Raw genomic sequence first — 18,768 nt, forward strand, 5'->3', positions numbered from 1 at the left:
AAGGTACAGAATGAACATACAGACATGTGACAGTACTCTCTCTCTGTGTGTGTGTGTGTGTGTGTGTGTGTGTGCCAAGTGTTTATTTTGAAGACGTATCTGTCTAGTTCTGGTTCATAGAACCAGTTAGGCTATACACATATATATACAAGGATTGTTTTTTAAGTGCCACTTCTTCCCTTTTTTTTTCACCTTCCCTTCCCACCATCCTGAAGGGGTCTGTCCTGCACTCCAGAATTATACTTTAAACTCCCCCACTTGATATTCTTCCTGAAGTTCCCCAAACTTAATATTTATAACACTGACCTCATTATCTTCTCCCCCAAACTTGCTTCTCTTCCTGTTTTTTTTTTTTTTTTTTTTTTTTGTGCTAGAATACGGAGTCATCCCTGCATCCTTCCTCTGCTCTCACATCTATTCAGTCACTAAGTGCTTTCCATTCCCCCTCCAAGCCCTTCTCAATTCTGTCCATACCTCTCCATTCTCACTGCCACTGTCCCAGTTCAGGCTGCCATGACAGTTTCATAACAGGCTCCCTGCTTGCAGTCTCTCTTTTATGTGTTTTATCCTCCAGGATATAGCTGAGTTATTTTTGTAAAACATAGGTTGGATCACATTGCTCTCCACTGCTGCCATGATGGCCAAACCCTGGCTCTGACCTGTCATTCTGGCCGCATCTCCACACTACTTGCTGGTCCTTGGACAGGTCATCCACTTACACACTGCTGAGCCATTGCTCATGCTAGCTGCTTATGCTCTAGCTTGCTGGATACTCCTTTCACCTTTTTCCACTGGTGAATTCAATCTTCAAGTCCCAGCTTAGGGACCACTTCTTTTAAGAGCCCCACCTTCTTGTCAGTCATAATTACCACTTCAAAGAAGATTCCATGTAACTGATAAATGAATTCAGTGATACTCTTTCTCATCAGAGCTCTTACGGTATTTTGTTTAAAGCCCCATTAGAGGGCTTTATTGTACTATATTTAGGTGTGTTTGATATGATCTGTCTCCCTATGAGAATGTGAACTCCATAATACTAATAGCTAACATATTGAGCAGTGAATACACTATGCTAAGTCAGGCATGGTGCTAACCACTTTATATGCAGTAACCTCCAACAGCCCTGTAAGGCAGATAATATTACTACTGTAATAGCAGTAGTAATATTTCACAGATAAAGAAACTGAATGCAGGGTGGTGAATTCACTTGTGCAAGGTTATATAACTAGAAAATGGTAGAACTAGGATTCAAACCAAGAAGTTCACATCCTTAAGCCCTACTGTAGGCTACCTCTGTGGTGATTAGAGGCCTTATCTTATTCATCTTTGTATTTCCAGTCTCTGGTATTGTGTTGCTATATGATAAATGCTTTTCATATAGTATAACAGAAGAAAAATGATTACGAAGCATACTAGCTATTTGCTAAAAAACTGATAGACCATGATGAAAGAATTAGTCGTGTTCCTCAATGCAAGGGCTATACATGGGCTTTCCTGAATCTGTACCATTTTTTTTAAGAAGTAAGAAAGATGCAAGGTATAAAGAGAAAGTTATTCCAGAAGTAGATGCAGATATAGGTCCTGACTGGGACTAACATGGCTCTCCAGTGTTGCCGTATCCTCAGAAAGACCCAGCAGTCTAAGTCCTTGTTCTCACATGGCAGAGTGATTTTGAGAAAAACATTTCTAAGCCGAGCGCATTGGCTCATGCCTGTAATCCCAGAACTTTGGGAAGCCAAGGCAGGCAGATCACTTGAGGACAGGAGTTTGAGACCAGCCTGGCCAACATAGGGAAGTCCTGTATCCATGAAAAATACAAAAAATTAGCTGGGCGTGGTGGTGCGTGCCTATAATCCCAGCTACTCCAGAGGCTGAGGCAGGAGAATCACTTGAACCTGGGAGGTAGAGGTTGCAGTGAGCTGAGATTGAGCCACTGCACTTCAGCCTGGGTGACAGAGCGAAACTCTGTCTCTAAAATAAAATAAAAGAAAAAGAAAAACATTTTTAGTCAGGGAAGATTGGAACTCTTTTCAGCAAGTATGCCAACCAAAGAGTTAAAAGTATTGTGTGACTGGGCATTAATATAAGCCCTTGAGCCTCTATATGTAAGAGACAGCAATCAGACACTGAGCCACTTGCATAGCCTTTTCGGGTTGTAGTTAATTTATTGAAAAAGCAGGCACAGTCACACCTCTAATCATAGATAAGACATACAGTTAATGATGAGATAAGCCTTAAAGCCCATGTATGCCAGTTATTTATTTGCAGATGGGAATCTTCTCAACATTTGTAGAAACAATTGAATGGCTTTAGAGTACTAGCAAACATATTACCTCTCTTTTAGCAAGATGTACACTACAAGTAATACTTTCACTATGATTTTTCTCAAAGTGGATTTGGCTAAGAATGTTTAAAAATATCTTGAAAATTAATTTATTTCCTCATGTTCCTTCTGTGAGGTACTTTGTTGTGAGACTGTGGTAAGTCACAATAAAATTAATTTCAAGAACTAAAATGGATTATTTCAGTTATATGATTGAGTTGACATTAATGTGAACTGTTGAACATAAATTGACATTGTAAGCAAACACCTATGGGAAATTATTGAAACGCTGTAAGGTCAAGGATACATTTTGATTGAGGTTTTTGTATTACCATCTGGTGAAACCCAAAACTTATTATTGCAGGCATCATATTACAGTGTTATTACTTTGTCATTAGGTTTTGTAATTATGTTGATAAAGCAATTCAAGAACATGTCTGTAGAATAGCATTACACTTTTATTGAGTTTTCATTACAATTGTAATAATGTTAATGAAAGTATATGAAGGCCCATAATGATCCAGTTAACACTGAGTATTATAATAACAAAAGAATATGAATAGAATTCTTTGGGGATTTCATCATACCTGAGATATGATGCAATGGATACATTACTTGGTTATAAAATGGATGCAAATAAAATTCAACATGTTATGATACATCCGTCCTTGCCTGACCCAGGCACAGCTGCAAGTATTGAAAGCTTTCATTTATAGGCTCAGGACAATTTAATTCTAGAGCCAATTTTAAACAAACTTATGGAAATATATCAGAAAATCTGATCTTTACCTCAATCCCTGGTGGAAGATCTAGAATCTTTCTTGCTGCTCTAAGCTCAGTGTGTCTGAAGTGGGCCCCTTATTGCCTATAAACGTTCATCCTGGTTCTGAGGTTTCACCATCTTTTGCATGACAATAGAAACATACTCTGTCTTAGCTTGTTACTGTTCTCTTTAGTTTCTCCGTTGATACTGAAGCCCTATCCTGAAACCTCAACTGTCTTGTTTGAGATTCCATTTTTCTTTTTAGCCCTTAGTAGGCTCCTCAAAGGCTGAACCTTGCCATGGGCTGGAGTCCTTATTTATGCCAGGTGAATCTCTTGGAGCTACACAGCTTCCACCACCCACCTGATTACCAGTATTGCCATTGCCATGGCCATTCTGTGGCTTGCATCCTCCACTGGTTTGGACCTTATGAGTGATGAGGCTTTCCCAACTTGCATCCGAATTTTATCCTTCCCTCTAGGATTTTATAATTTGAGAAGCTGGCCACCCTTCTTGGGGACCTGTCCTAAAGCTGAATTTATTCTCCTAGCATGAAATCTCACCATTCCCAACCTATTGAAGTCCTAGCATGCCTCATGACTGAGTTATGTATATTGGCATGCACAGTTAGAAACACTAAACCAACTTACACTGAGGTTCATTGTTTATATAGTCATTTAAGTGAATTATATAATGAACAAATGGAGATATATATCAGTTGTAAGGATAAATTGTCTTGATTTCCCACCCCCATCAAACTTAGGAATCCACCTGTAGCATGCCAGCCTTAACATGCATGTGAACAGAACTTTCTGCCAAATGCTTTTATGTTGAAGATTAGCTTTCAGGTAAAGCTTACAGTATGAGCATGTTTATCCATTATGTTATTCAGAACAAGCTAATGTAAAGATGTGCTGTAGTGTACTAGAAGGGTTCTAGCCTTGGAATCAAATTATAGTCCTCTGCCTTTTATCCATGGGTAGTATGTTCTAAGACCCCCAGTGGGTGTCTGAAACCACTGATAGTACTGAATATAATTGCTGTCAATCATAACATGTTTCCGTTCATGTCTTCCACCCACAAATTTAATGCCTTTCCATCTTAACTAAGCACTTGTCATGCACTGTGGCTATAACTTTTGCAGTTTGAGGTATGACAGCAAAACTAGTACAAATTTCTTTTTCCCTCTTCACAATTTCACAGACAGAAGGTTTGTTCTTACTCAGTATAAGATGTTTTTTCCTTATTAAGTTGAGGACTTTCACCTTTTGACTTTTAAAGGAAACACTTCATAGCTTCTCTTTGGCATATCCAAATTTCCAGCAACACTACTCTTGCTCTTTGAGGCTACTATTAAGTAAAATAAGTGTTAACTCGAACGCAAGCACTGTGATACCACAACAGTAGACCTGATAACCAAGTGGCTACTAAGTGACTCATGGGCTAAGTGACTGGAGTGGATAGCATATACAGTGTAGATACACAGGACAAAGGGAGAATTCCCCTTCCAAGAGGGATGGAGTGGGAGGGCAAGAGATTTCATCATGCTACTCAGAACAGCATGCAATTTAAAACTTATGAATTGTTTATTTCTATACATTTTCATTTAATATTTTCAGACCACAATTGACTGAGAGTAACTGAAATTATGGAAAGCAAGATCACAGATAAGGGAGACTACTGTTTCTGGAGTTAAAATGCCCTTGAGAAATTCATTTTACCTCTCTCTGTCTTAATTTCTCACATGTAAAATGAAGAAAATAATATCTAAGCCACATGCTACGAGTGTTGAATGAGATTATAGAGGTGGAAGTATTCAACTCCTTGCCTTAGATACAATAGATGCTCAATAATTGCTTGCTCACTTATATTTTCTATACAACATAGATGCATAATGCAGGGAGGGTGAGATGCATTAGGATGTTCATACTTCTGATTGCAAAAGGCCATATGCAATGCAAATCCTTCATCTTTGTTGTGTCTTGAAGAGGGACACAACTTTACGGCTTTAATTAATACGTAGTCCAAAATCACCTACATTTAGCAGGGCTTACAAAATTAGTCAGAGAACAAAGTACATGCTTTAGAATCAGAACTCTGGCCTTTCCTGATTATTACTCCCATTTTTTTTTATTTTTATTTTTTGAGACGGAGTTTTGTCACCTAGGCTGGAGTGCAATGGCGCAGTCTTGGCTCACTGCAACCTCTGCCTCTCTGGCTCCAGCAATTCTCCTGCCTCAGCCTCCCAAGTAGCTAAGATTACAGGTGCCCACCACCATGCCTGGCTAAATTTTTTTTAACTTTAGCAGAGATGGGGTTTCGCCATGTTGGTCAGGCTGTCTTCGAACTCCTGACCCCAGGCAATTTGCCCACCTTGGCCTCCCAAAGTGCTGGGATTACAGGGGTGAGCCACCAGGCCTGGCCCTATTACTCCTATTATCTCAGTTTCTTCAAAACTTGTATTTAGCAGTTAGTAGGCATTCAAAAAACATTTGTTGCAGGAAACTTTACTTTTAGGTTATCTAGTCTACACATTTATTTTACAGATGGCATAAGTACGGTCTCAAAATATTAAGTCAGTTATATCCAAAGTCCAGCATTTAATCAGTAGCAGAGTCAGGATAGAACCTAATGTTACTAATTTCCAGCCAAGTTAAATTGACTTCTATTTCTACATTTTTCTTTTCTTTTTCACTCATGATGTGGTGCCCATTCTCTGTCCCTCTCTCCATTTCTCCTTGCTTTCCTTTCCACAATACCTATGCTGGCTACACACTGGGAATCTAAAATGAACAAGACACGTTTCCTACTTTTATACATGCCTGAGACATCCTGCCTCAGCTGACCTCTCTGAACCCACCCCAGTCCTGCCTGCTTATGGCTACCTGACTGCACTGGCTAACTTCTCTGCCAAGATCTACGGTTGCCTTCCTTTTCTTCTAGCCTTTTTACCCTTACAAGCATTTTTCAACCTCTTGATTTATTAGTCATCCTCTGCCCATAAATCAGGATTTCCTACCTAGACCTCCTATCCTTTGGGTCCCTACATCCTACTGTGGTGTCCCGGTGCAGTGGGAGGTCTTAGGCACAGCTTGAAATTCTGTCCTTTTGGTGGCTTTGCAGGTGGCCACCTGCTGGAGAGTGCATGTCTCCACTGCCTTCCTCAACCTCTGCATGTGGAGTCTGCACTTGACAAGATCAATGGTATGTGATTCTTGAAATTATTCTAATTGCGGCAGAAGCCACAGCCACACCAGCCGAATGAGACCTGGAGTAGGTCTTAATTTCGATATGCCAATGTAAGCATGAAGGTATTTGCATGTCTGGCAAGTTATTTTCTACCCCACCTCTTGTCCTACTCCACTAGTTCTTAAGACGAGTTCTGCCTCATTTTCCTTTTGTTTAAACTGGACTACCTCCCTACCAGCTCCTACCGGGATCTTCCTTGGGAGATCAGCCCTACTCCTTGTGTCACCAACTCCTGTCTGTATCCTGCTCTTCAAGGGCAGCAGTCCTGAAACCAGGGATCCATTGCCTACCCAATGTCAAGCTTCCTGATTTCTACTGCTATACCAACCCCAGTATGGATGGGAGTGGTCATTCTTCCCACTATGGATGTAGCTGACCTCCCCTCCTCTGCTATCATGTTGAGAAGATGCCCTTTTGGGTTAGACCCTACAAGACTACTGGCTTCAGAGATGGGTACAGGGAACATCACTTTCCTGCATGGAGTAGAACAAAATGGCAAAATCTGGAAGGAGAGATTCAATCCCTAAATGTCAATATCCAAGAGATGTAGGAACTGACTGTTTTGTGGTAATACATATTATTAATGGAGATAAGTGCCCTTTTGTGCCCAGATAACACTGGCTGCATAGTTTTGGGAGATAATGCATCGCTAAGTACTCCTGACACCCATTGCAAGGTTGATTTCTAAACAAATGGGCTGAAACTTAATTAGTTCTAATTGTAAAACACAAGGGCTCTGGGCCCACCTCAGCATGAAGAATGGAATCAAAGGTGCCAACTAAAGAGAATATTCCAGATGCTCACATTGAAATATGTAATCTGAGAGTGTTTTAAGTGCATCTGAGTACTTCAGTGCTTCATAAATGGTTGAGCTACATTATCAACCCCGGATATTGAGACACTAATAAGCAAACAGCTCTTACTTTTTATAATGCTGTGTGCCTGAGTCAGAGGAAATGTTGAGGATGATTAGAATACTGGAATACTCCTTTGTGGTTAGATGTTACTAAATCCCAATAGACTTTGGAGGTCAAAAAAAACTCCAACTATATGCCACATAAAATCTATTATAACTGGGGTTTTCTGAGATCATTTTCCTAAAATAATAAACATAACAACAGAAAATTGACTGCATGACAATGAAATGTAGAACATTCAGTTTGCCAGGTTTTTTTTAATTACCTGATGAATGATGATCTCTTGGTTTAATAAAGCAACATGTTTAGGAAATTCCAAAATAGATTGGTTTTATTATCTCTTTGTTTAGATGATGAGAACAGGGCCATATTTTTTTTCATGATTACCTTCCTCAGTGCCTTGTATAGTGCTTTGTACATAGTAGGTCTCTGTAGTTATTAATTGAGCATTTCATGAATTATTCATTTTCTATAATGACCAAAGAAGCCATTGCACTGATAAATTTTAACATAACTTTTTGCTGCCTGCATGCAGTCTTGGTCATAGTTTGCAACCATTTATGCCATTTCCTCCCATTTTAACATTTTTGTAATTTGTATCATGTCCCAGGTCTATGAAGTTTCTGAGGCAGAGTATAAAGTGCAAAGTTAATGCTTCTTTTGCACACAAATATAACCCTCATGAGAATAAAGTCATGGATTTCAAACTTATATTTCGATGTGACAACTATATAAAGCCAGATTGATATATATTTTAAATCATTTTCCCTACAGCTTTATCCCCACCCATCCTTCCCCAAAGCCTCATAGCAGCTTTAGCAAGATATTTATTAATTTAGTTGCATCTTTCACATAGTATCGGATTTGTGTAAATGCAATAAAATTCATAACACTCCTGTATAATATAGGGCAGAGACAAGCAGGACCCTTCTGCTCTGAGGCTGGAATATAAAGTAGTTTCAGTTGCTGAGATAGATTAATTCTTGAGTCAGAAAACAGTCTTTAACTCCAGTCAGCCCAATTTCTGCCAAATAAGCAAGAAGATAAATGCATCATTCTTTGAAGACAGAAGACATGTTGGGAATCAGACAACTTAATTTCAAATATGAAATATATCTAATTGATTTGCAATACTGTCCCTGGTGTACTGCCCATTGAAGATGCAATATTCTGAGGTTTCCGGACCTATGACACCAGCTAGAAAAACATTATCTGCCACTTCTGCTTGAGCGATAAGAAGACATAGGAAAAGCATGAGGGATGATGATGCACGACTCTGCAACTCCTGTGGGTCACTGCACTTTATCAACCAGAGACTAGCAGCACACAAACATATTATGGGACTGATTTTGTCCTCAGCTACATCATCAATTGGTTTTGTGAATCACCTGACCCTTAATGGGAACCTTCATATACAGTCAAAGACAGAATTTAGATTAGGATGTGAACAGGCCAAACAGGCTTTTAGCCTATCTTTATCTGGCTAATGAAATAATATTACCGAGTAGTGATTTATTTTCTTCTTCTTGTTTGACTTTGGTCATTTCTTTTTTCTTCTAGGACTGCATTAAATTGTAGGAATGCAACTTCAATTAATATTATAATAATCCTCATTGCTGATAGTGTTTTTTAAGCTCATTATCATCACATTTGTGCATGATGTTTTAAAGATGCACAAGGGATTTAAAAATCCCCGATTAAATATTTCCAGTTCTTACTAATATAAATTCATACAGCCTAAAAGTATTAATGTGATCAATGCTAAGAATAGCAACATCCACAGTAAATATGCTGAACCATTGTAAATTGCAATATTTATCTGATTTATTTTCTTGAATGTTGTCTCCTACTCCAAACACAGATTATTGGAGAGTTCTGCTATGTATAAGAGATGTCAGAAATAATTTTGGCCAGTTATATGGGGATCAATTTATGTGTCTATTACGCACCTACCAAATATTTAGCATAATGTATCAAAATAGAATGTGAGAATAGGTAATTTGTTACAAAAGCAAAAATCAATACCATAAGTAAGTAAATAAATGAATTAAATTAATTAATGATTGTTTAAAATGTATTATTCATTATACCTCTTGGCAATTGGGCAATTAGCAAAAAGTACTAATTGTACATTGTATGTCATATAAAATGTATAAAAACATAAAAGTACATTTTATGTTTTTATATATTTTTTTCATTTAAAAGTTGTGGTAATGGCTTATGAGGATACTCGCTTTTTCAGACAAATTGAGGTTCTATCATGTAAATGGGAAAACTGACCTGAACATTAGAGCTACTTTTGGAGTGAAGTTGGTTTAATAAAATTCTTAAACAGTTGTTTAAATGTGAAGGACTGGAGATAACATACATAAAGCACTAAAGTATTTTATACAATACTGGCTCTTTTAAAAAAGATGATTACCAATATGTCTATATAATTATATATAATATATGCATGTGTATATATTTGAGCCTTTTAAAAAAGATGATTTCTAATAGTGGCAGTAATAATTATAGTTTTCTGGAGCTCTTAAGTCATTTTGCTTCAAGATTCCTGTTAGCCAAATACATTTATGGTATTCTATTTTTAGCATAAACCTTTCCTAATGATATGAGAGTGTTTGACCTTCTGAACTGATCCCAGAGCAGTGCAGAGCCTTGGTTGCCAAGCACTGAAAAGGGTATGTCAACCACCTCTGTTCTAGAGACAACTGGTTTTACTTTGATGTTTCTTAGTTTTCATGTTTGATATATCCCCTCTGCCAGAGCACCACAATTATTTTTCTGCATATATGTTTGTGACATTTCTACTCTGGAGAATTCCTGTATAATAAACTCCATTTCATGATTTTTTTTAATCGAGTGGCATGGTCTAGACTGGTGGACACATCTGCATATGCTCCAGTACATTTCTTCATGGGTACCTTCTAAAATATTCCTATATTTTAACTGTCTTAGCAACAACATCATCACTCCCAATTATAGATAATGGGACTTCAAAAAGTTGATGGAAAATGAAAACACTATACATGGATTTCAAAATTTTGCTGCACAAAAAAACCCTGGTGTTAACTTGTTATAACATGTCTGAACAGGAACTAGTTTGGGGCAGTAAGAAAGATAAGACATCAATTTGAAAAGAGCCCCTATCAGAGCAACATAAATTCTGCTAAAATTGAAGCAAGAACAAATACCAAGTTTATGGTGAAGCCTGGGTGGAAGAATGGTGAAGTCATTGATACTTTATGAAAAGTGTATGGAGACAAGGCCCCAAAGAAATCAGTTTACAAATGGATAGCTTGTTTTAAGAAGTGATGAAACGATGTTGAAAATAAAGCCCATGGTACCAGACCATCCACATTGATTTGTGAGGAAAAAATTAATCTTGTTCATGCACTAATTGAAGAGTGTAGATGATTACAGCAGAAATAATACCCAATACCATAGATGTCTCAATTGGCTCAGCTTACACAATTCTGGCTGAAAAATTAAAGTTGAGCAACTTTCCACTCTGGGTGCCGAAACTGTTGCACCCAAATCAGCTCCAGACAAGAGCAGAGCTTTCAATGTAAATTTTAAACAAGTGGAATCAAGATCCTGAAGCATTTCTTCAAAGAACTGTAACAGGAGATGAAACATGGCTTTACCAGTATGATCCTGAAGACAAAACACAGTCAAAGCAATGACTACCAAGAGGTGGAAGTGGTTCAATCAAAGCAAAAGCGGACTCACCAAGAGCAAAGGTCACGGCAATAGTTTTTTGGAATGCTCCAGTCATTTTGCTTGTTGATTTTCTGGAGCACCAAAAAGTGATAACATCTGCTTATTATGAGAGTGTTTTGAGAAAGCCAATACTTTAGCAGAAAAAACACCCAGGAAAGCTTCACCAGAGAGTCCTTCTCCACTCTGACAATGCTCCTGCTCATTCTTCTTAACAAAGAAGTGCAATTTTATGAATGTCAGTGGAAAATCATTAGGCATCCACCTTATAGTTCTGATTTGGCTCCTTCTGACTTCTTTTGTTTCCTTATCTGAAAAAATCTTTAAAGGGCACCTATTTTTCTTCAGTATATAATGTAAAAAAGACTGCATTGGGATGGTCAAAAAACCCATGATCTTCAGTTCTTTAGGGATGGACTAAATGGCTGATACCATCACTTAACAAAAGTGTCTTGAACTTGACAAGGGCTTATGTTGAGAAACAAAGTTTATTTTTTTTATTTTTATCTTTTAATTCAATTTTTCTATGAACTTTTTGAAGTCTCCTCTTTAAAACTGTCTTCCTTTTATAAAAGTTTTTTATTTTTAAAAATACTGAAACTATAAGTCTTTAAAATGTACGTCATTAATTCCCATAACATACTCTTTAATTTTACTTAGTAACATAAATTGCTTAAAACAAAACATATAGAATTTCATATTCACAAGTTTGCCTAATATGATGTTTCAGAAAAATATTGTATGTTCTCTTAGTTAATGCTTATGTCCTTGCCATTGACTTGTTTACAGATTATTTCATTGGATTGCCCTCTAATTCCGAGTTTTTGTAGTCTGAAATCCACCCAGGGTATGTGCAGGTCAAAGTCTGGAGGAGCTTTGGGGTAATAGGAAGAACTCAAGACTCCAAGTCCGGAGACACAGGTTTGAATTCTAGGTCCCTGGGTTCCTAAATCTCTCTGAGCCTTCAGTTTCCTCATCTATGATAAGTGGATGACAATAATCAGTTTACAGGGTGACTGTGAGAATTAAATGAAATAAAATACTTTGAATACTTAGCAGTGCTTAGTATATATTTAATTTGACATAATCTAAAAGTGTTTGCTCGGGTTTGCTGGAAGTAAAAAATTGGTGCTCAACATCACCTCTCACTTGAATGGAAGAAATAGCCATTGGACAGAGACATCCGTATATTAATGATTGGCTCTGGGTCTGTTTATTTTTATTTGAGTCAATGAATAAGTGCCCATACAGCACTTTGTCCACTACTAAGATTCTTATACTGTGTTAATTTCCATAGCAGCATTCCTGCCTGCTGAGTTTCCTGGATTTGCTGAGCTAAACAAGTTCATTCGCACCCAGTTCCACCTGGGATGAAGATCCATCTACAGGGCTGGAACTGACAGGGAAAACTTTTCATCCCATCTGAGGTCACCTTCACTTACAGGATGCTGGCTGCTGATAAGTATCCTATCAGGAGAAGAAGAGAAAAATAATTTGACACTTATAGCCTGTCTTGAAAGATGAGATTCACTTATCAGCAAACCAGATGAAGAGAATCACTGAGCACAGAAATGAGATCTGAGCACACTAGAGCTCAACTAATGTATCCCTGCCCACACAGGGTTAGTCTCTACAAATTGCCTATTTCAGTTATTTAGCCCCATTTTTTTCCCAGAGATGGTGTGTTTCGTATAATCAATAGCTACAAAATAAAAGCAGCATCTGCCTTGCCTTCTTTTCCCGTTATTTGGCTGTGGCCTCCTAACAATGAGACAAACAGAGAAGAGAGAAGTAAACAAGAAATCAAAGAGATCTAGGGGAGATAGCTAATGTGGGGGTGAGGAGAGAAGCAAATACCGGGTTCACAACAGGTTGAATCATTGCCAAGGAACCCAGATTGACAAGTATGATATACTGTTGAGATTCTCAGTGGCAACCGTTGCCAGTTTTGCAAAAGAGCAGTGTTATTGGAGCCGGATTTGGAAAGCAGATTTTGTGAAAAGTCTAGGATACTGCTGTCTCCCAGGACTTGGTTCTAATTTTGTCTTTGGGCTGTCCTCAATGCTCCCACCTCTCACGCATGTGTTCTATTTGGGGGCTTATTGTGGAGGAAGCCAGCTAATGCTACATCCAGAAAGAGGGAGAAAAAAAGTCCAAATATATATTTTTCTTTATTGAAATAGAAAAACAAACTCAAAATTATCTGCATTTTATGTTTCCAGCCATCCTTAGTCACAGACAGAGCTCAGCAATATGCTCACCTTGGCCCACTGAGAGCAGATATTTCACAGACAATTTTTTGCTCACCTGTAAAAGTTCGTCTCTCCCCAGCTGAGTATTGGTTCCCCACCCTTCTCCTTCTTCAGACTCTACTCTAATCCCCATGCATTCCCAGGCTTCCTGGGGCTGATGTGGGAAGACAAAGGAGGAACCCAGGACCCTAAGAAAAGGCAGCCTTCTGATACCCACTGCTATGGGATCATTATAGGAGGGCCAGTACTTGGTGGGTAGTTGTGAGATGCAGCATAACTGTGTTCTCTGCAGGCAGGGCTTCTCCCTCAGGCTTGAGTTGTATTTTCCATGAACTTGTGCTGGGCCTTCCAGTGCCCAGCTCTTAGTCTTAGAAACTCCTTTGCTGCTAAGACCTTTCAGAGTGAGGCCTGAGGTAAGAGCAAAGCTGAAGGAGATCAGGTGGCAGGCCTGCTCCAGTCCTGGTCTGGTCCTGGGGATGAGCATGTTGTGCAGGATGGTAGGTTGGTTCTCCCCATCTCGAGCCTTTGGGTGCTCTGGTTTGTTTGGCATATGGGTATGCACTGGGTTGGTCCCTAGGATCCTCTGCCTGCCTTTTAGAATGTATGAAGTGGTCCTGGTTCCACCCTAATGTGAAAGAAGATCTTGCCATCGTATAGGCAAGAGCAGTGGGTCCCAACACAAGGCCTAATGATGGCCATCATAAGATGATCAGACCATCTTTTTGTTATTTGAGTTACAATAACAAAGTAGATCGAAGATAGGTCCACTCTGTAGAACTAAAGTCATATGCATTGCTTTTCTCTACTTGCCGAATTGCTGTCTAGCACCCCCTTTTCTCTCTGAACTCCTCATCTTTTCAAGGGCATAAGGACTCCTATTCTGATTAGGACAAAATGCAGGAATTTGTTTTGAATTTTCTCTTCATTTCGGGTGCTGTGAGCACTTGGGCTTGGAGTTGGAGTGGTAGCTGGGTATTAGGCCTTGACTGGGCTTTCCTCATTTTCAGCAGAGCCCAGCTGGCTTTGGCCCGGTTTGGAGATTCTCCAACCAAGTCCCACCCTCAGAGAGGTTGCCATACTCTCGCCATTAGAGAAGCCAGCGGGGAGTTACAGCCACAGCAGCTTTTGCAGAATCCCTAGGAGACCTACAGGGACAAAGCAGAGTAAAGGAAAAGGTCCTGGAGAGGTGAGATTTTCTCCATTTTCAACAAGAGTTTTAGACGACATTTTCCAAAAGTTGCTACAGCTCATACAACTGCTTTGCAAATTCAACATTTGAGTTTGGCCCACTGAAAAAAAAGTTCACTTACTACTACTACTTTCTGTCTATGTTGTGTTTCAGGCTTAGAGCCAGGCTTAGAGTTGTGATGAAAAGGAAAGCTCTGACTAAAATAATATTTCTTGTCATAGTAGTTATTTTGTTTCATAAGTATTGACATGTAGGTTGTTACTGCATTTTACAGATGAGGAAACTGAGCCTTAGGACTCAGAAATATTGTGAGGAACACAGTAAGAACAAGACACGTTAGGCGTTATTATCCTAGGTTTAACCTGTTGCTATTTGAGAATGGCATAGAGAGAAACAAAAGCTATTACTTAGAGAAAGCTGGCTACTCTCTTAGACCAGCTTTGAAGGATAAGGACCCTGGTTAGGCCATCACAGTCTAGGTCCATAGTTCTCAGTCTTTGGCTTACATCAGAATCAGCTGTGGAGCTTTAAAAAATAGAGATTCCTAGGTCTTATCCCATACCTCCCAAATTAGAATCTCCAGGGACAGGTCTTGGAAGTCAACATTAAAAAAAAATAATGAAAAAACAAAATATCCTTGGTTGAGTGATACTGTTGGGCAGCAAGTTTGGAAACGATCTAAGGTTTTACCTCTAATTTTGGTCCAGAAAATTCCTTGCCAGAGGTAATAAGTCTTCTGGAGATGGACTCACATTAACACAATTATGACATGTGACTGATACATGGATTAGAGTGACAACTGACAGTGAGAACTACCTTGTTGTTAGCCTAACAAGACCATCGGGCTCTTGTTGGTAGAAGGTTATGCTTTTCCCCGAGGCTGCATGTAGCCAGGTGAGCAGAGACCAAAGGTGGAGAAAGTGGATGATCATGAGAGGCAGGACCATCAAACATGGTGACCCTGAGGCATTCATCTTCCTCAGAAGGTTCCTGCTGTACAAACAGAATACTCGTGTTCATGGGCTCAGATGCATCACCAGATTTTATCTTTGACCATCCTGTTTACAGGTGCCTTATCCCCCATCCCCATTCTGAAAATAATTATTTTTATTAGATACAAAATACCGTATAGTTGATTAGATTTGCTCTTTTCTAGTTAAAGATCACAGCCTAAATGCTCATAGTTAGCAAGAGTTTTAGATAAACAGGCACTCATACTTGACTTGTTACTGGGAAATTAGCACAATCTTTTGATATGAAGTATTGGTAGCTACAGGGATAATTTTTGGCACTATTAACAATACTGAAAAGTTGGAAGCAACCTTTATGTCCAAGAATAGAAGTAGATAAATTCATTATTGTATATGCACACACAAAACGGGCTGATATATAGTCATGGTTTAGAATAAAATGTAATTAAATGGAAAATACTCACGATATATTGTTATGTGATAAAGCACATACAAATTTTTGTATGTGTGAAAAGAGGTACACCAAAATGTTAATGGTAATTTTGCCTGGATGGTTTAATTATGAGTGATTTTTTCTGTTTTTATTTATCTACATATCTACTTTAATTTTATCATAATAATTATATATAAATTTTATCATAAGAAAAAGCCAAATAAGCATTATTATAAAAGTCATAATTCAGATTTTTCTTCCTGACATTATATGTGAGTCATCATGACTATTAATATATTTTGGGTGACCCTCAAATGTAGTTTTGAGTTTGTGTTATTTCTATGAATGAATGATGGTTGTCATCCCTTACCCCTTTATCTAGAGTAACTTCATTCACAGAAGCCATCTGAATTCAGTTTTGGAGTCTGTTCAACTTCTGGTGGTGCATATACAATTTAACCACAGCGATGGGGACATTCACTCAACAAACATTTATTGCAGACTTTCTCTTATAGACTTTAAGGGTGTATGTTTGAACAATATATATTACTGCTGTAAAGGAGTCAGGTGGGGATATAAAGAAATGTAAAACAAATAATAAATAATTTATTAGAGATAGGACTATGAGATCCTAGAAGAGGGAGTGACTAATTTTGACTGGGAAAATAAGTCTTAATAGAAGAGGCAACTTTTAAGCTGAATCTTAAATGAGTAGAAGTTTTCCAGGTGAGGGAAGGCGGGAGAGCATTTCTAGGAAGAGCAAACAACTCATGCAAAGACACAGAGTAGTGAAAAGGCATTGTGTGGAATGTTGAGAAGTTCGGTGGGGCTGGAGCTTGGGGTATTACAGAGAAAGGAAAGGAGATGAGACTAGAATGAGAAATTAATACCAGATAGTAAAGTGTTTTGTATGCCATGTGACAGGATTTTAATTTGATCTTTTGAGCAATGGAAATTGGCAGTGGTTTATAAACAGGAAAAAGACATGACAGAACTATTTTTAAGGACATAACCCTGGGGAGGATGTGGAAAATGGAATAGATTAGGGTAGAGGCCTGAGGCACAGCAGATAGTTGGGAAGCTATTGTAGCATTAAAGATGAGAGATAATAAGGGCCTGGCCTGAGTCAGTGACCCTGGAAATGGAGAAAAAAGCCTTGATCTGAGAGGCCTCTAGTCAATAGGGAGAAGATTTCCCCATTCCCCTCTTATGTATTGTAGTTCTTAATATACTTTCCATACGCTTTTAGAGATGTGAACCTCCGTATTGAATATTTACTCTGCCAACCCAAATTTGAATCAATGCATGAGCACCTGTGTTTGACAAAGCCCAGTGGATCCAAATCCAGTATGCATTGAGTATGTCCCAAAAAATGAGTAATGGCTGCAGTATACAAAACAAAACCACCCCCGACTCACATGTGTTTCTGTGATTCCTTAAGATGCCGGAAGAAGATGAAAACAGTTACCAGTGTTGGCTTTTAAGAAAATGTCAGATCCAAAACATTCAACCATATTTTCCCTCTGACTCAACATGCCTGTAGTTTTTAGTGAGACACCTTTAGAAATCATATAATCCTTTTGGTTGAGAATTTGTCATTGAATAATAAAAAGAATACAAGATCTGAATCCAGACAGACCCGAATCTGTAATAATTGTGTGACTTTGGGTAAGTTACTTAATTTCTTGTTTTACTTATTTGTGAAATGGAGGTATTCATATCTATTTTGCAAGGCTAATATGAGAATTACAGATCATATATGTTAAGCATCTTGTACATTCTTGGTCCACAAAAAATAGTTAGGGCTGGGTGCGGTGGCTCATGCCTGTAATTCCAGCACCACTCTGGGAGGCCAAGGCGAGTGGATCACTTAAGGTCAGGAGTTTGAGACCAGCCTGGCCAATATAGGGAAACCCTGTCTCTACCAAAAAATACAAAATTTAGCCAGGTGTGGTGTGCATGCCTGTAGTCCCAGATACTTGGGAGGCTGAGGAGGGAGAATTGCTTGAATCCTGGATGGGGCGGGCACAGTGAGCCGAGATCATGCCACTGCACTCCAGCCTGGGAGACAGAGTAAGACCCTGCCAAAAAAAAAAAAAAAAAAAGAGGAAATAGCTTTTAATTTACTTTCAGAAGCTTGTTCTGGGCAAATGATATCTGAAGGATTGTGTTCATTTCTGTTTATGGCAGTTTAGGAAAGACACTGATAAGCTAAAGGCTTTTAGAGAAAGATGTCAAGGATGACAAAGAGAGTAGAAATAATTTTTGTGGTGCTTCCTCTTCCTGGTACTCAGAGCTATGTAAGCTCATTCTATTTTCCTTATTGTCTTTGCTGCCAGGAAACTCAGTTTCATATTTGAAATTCAAATTCAGCAACTGCATTAGCCCTTGAATTGGTATATCTGCTTTATCCTTTTGTTTGTCACTTTAAAACTTTGGAAAGAGATTCAGCACAAATAATTTCAGGGAATAAAATAAAATAAAATGTAATGTGCAAACTTGTAAAATAAATTGAACAGATTTAACATGCAGAATAGAAGCCTAAAGAGGGAGTTAAAATTATTCTCAAGTATCTGAAAAATTGTCATGTTGCAAAGAAAATAGACTTATTTGTATTGCTCTAAACATCAAACACCTGAACAGTAGATTGAAGATGCAGGATAATTATTTAAGTAAAATAAAAGAAGGGATTTATAAAATAGCTGCACTAATGGAATGGAATTTCTATTAGGAAAATGAGTCCATCATTGGAAGAGTTAAACTTTCTGTATAATTTTTTACAAAAATAGAAAAACAATCTTATAATTCATATGAAACCACAAAAGACCCCAAATAGCCAAAGCAAACTTGAGCAAGAACAAAGCTGGAGGCCTCACATTTTCTGATTTCAAAATATATTACCAAGCTACAGTAATCAAAACAGTACAGTACTGGCATAAAAGCAGACATAT

General features: G+C 38.3%; 1 long non-coding RNA gene across 1 annotated transcript, besides 1 other annotated feature; it reads left to right on the forward strand.

The window, feature by feature from the left end:
- The first annotated feature begins 5,494 nt into the window (after positions 1 to 5,494).
- On the forward strand, positions 5,495 to 12,703 carry LOC107985174 (uncharacterized). The gene is made up of 2 exons (XR_001738185.2): positions 5,495 to 6,290; positions 12,270 to 12,703. It is a non-coding gene; the product is annotated as an uncharacterized LOC107985174 (long non-coding RNA).
- Positions 6,126 to 6,215: a silencer, noted in NCBI's record as "silent region_1179". NCBI's record gives its function as "represses an Ori minimal core promoter by ATAC-STARR-seq in GM12878 lymphoblastoid cells {active_cell/tissue: GM12878}" and the evidence as "EXISTENCE:reporter gene assay evidence [ECO:0000049][PMID:35858748]".
- Positions 12,704 to 18,768: the final 6,065 nt, after the last annotated feature.

This window comes from Homo sapiens, chromosome 1 (assembly GCF_000001405.40).
Source record: "Homo sapiens chromosome 1, GRCh38.p14 Primary Assembly".
NCBI classification, from domain to species: Eukaryota; Metazoa; Chordata; class Mammalia; order Primates; family Hominidae; genus Homo; species Homo sapiens.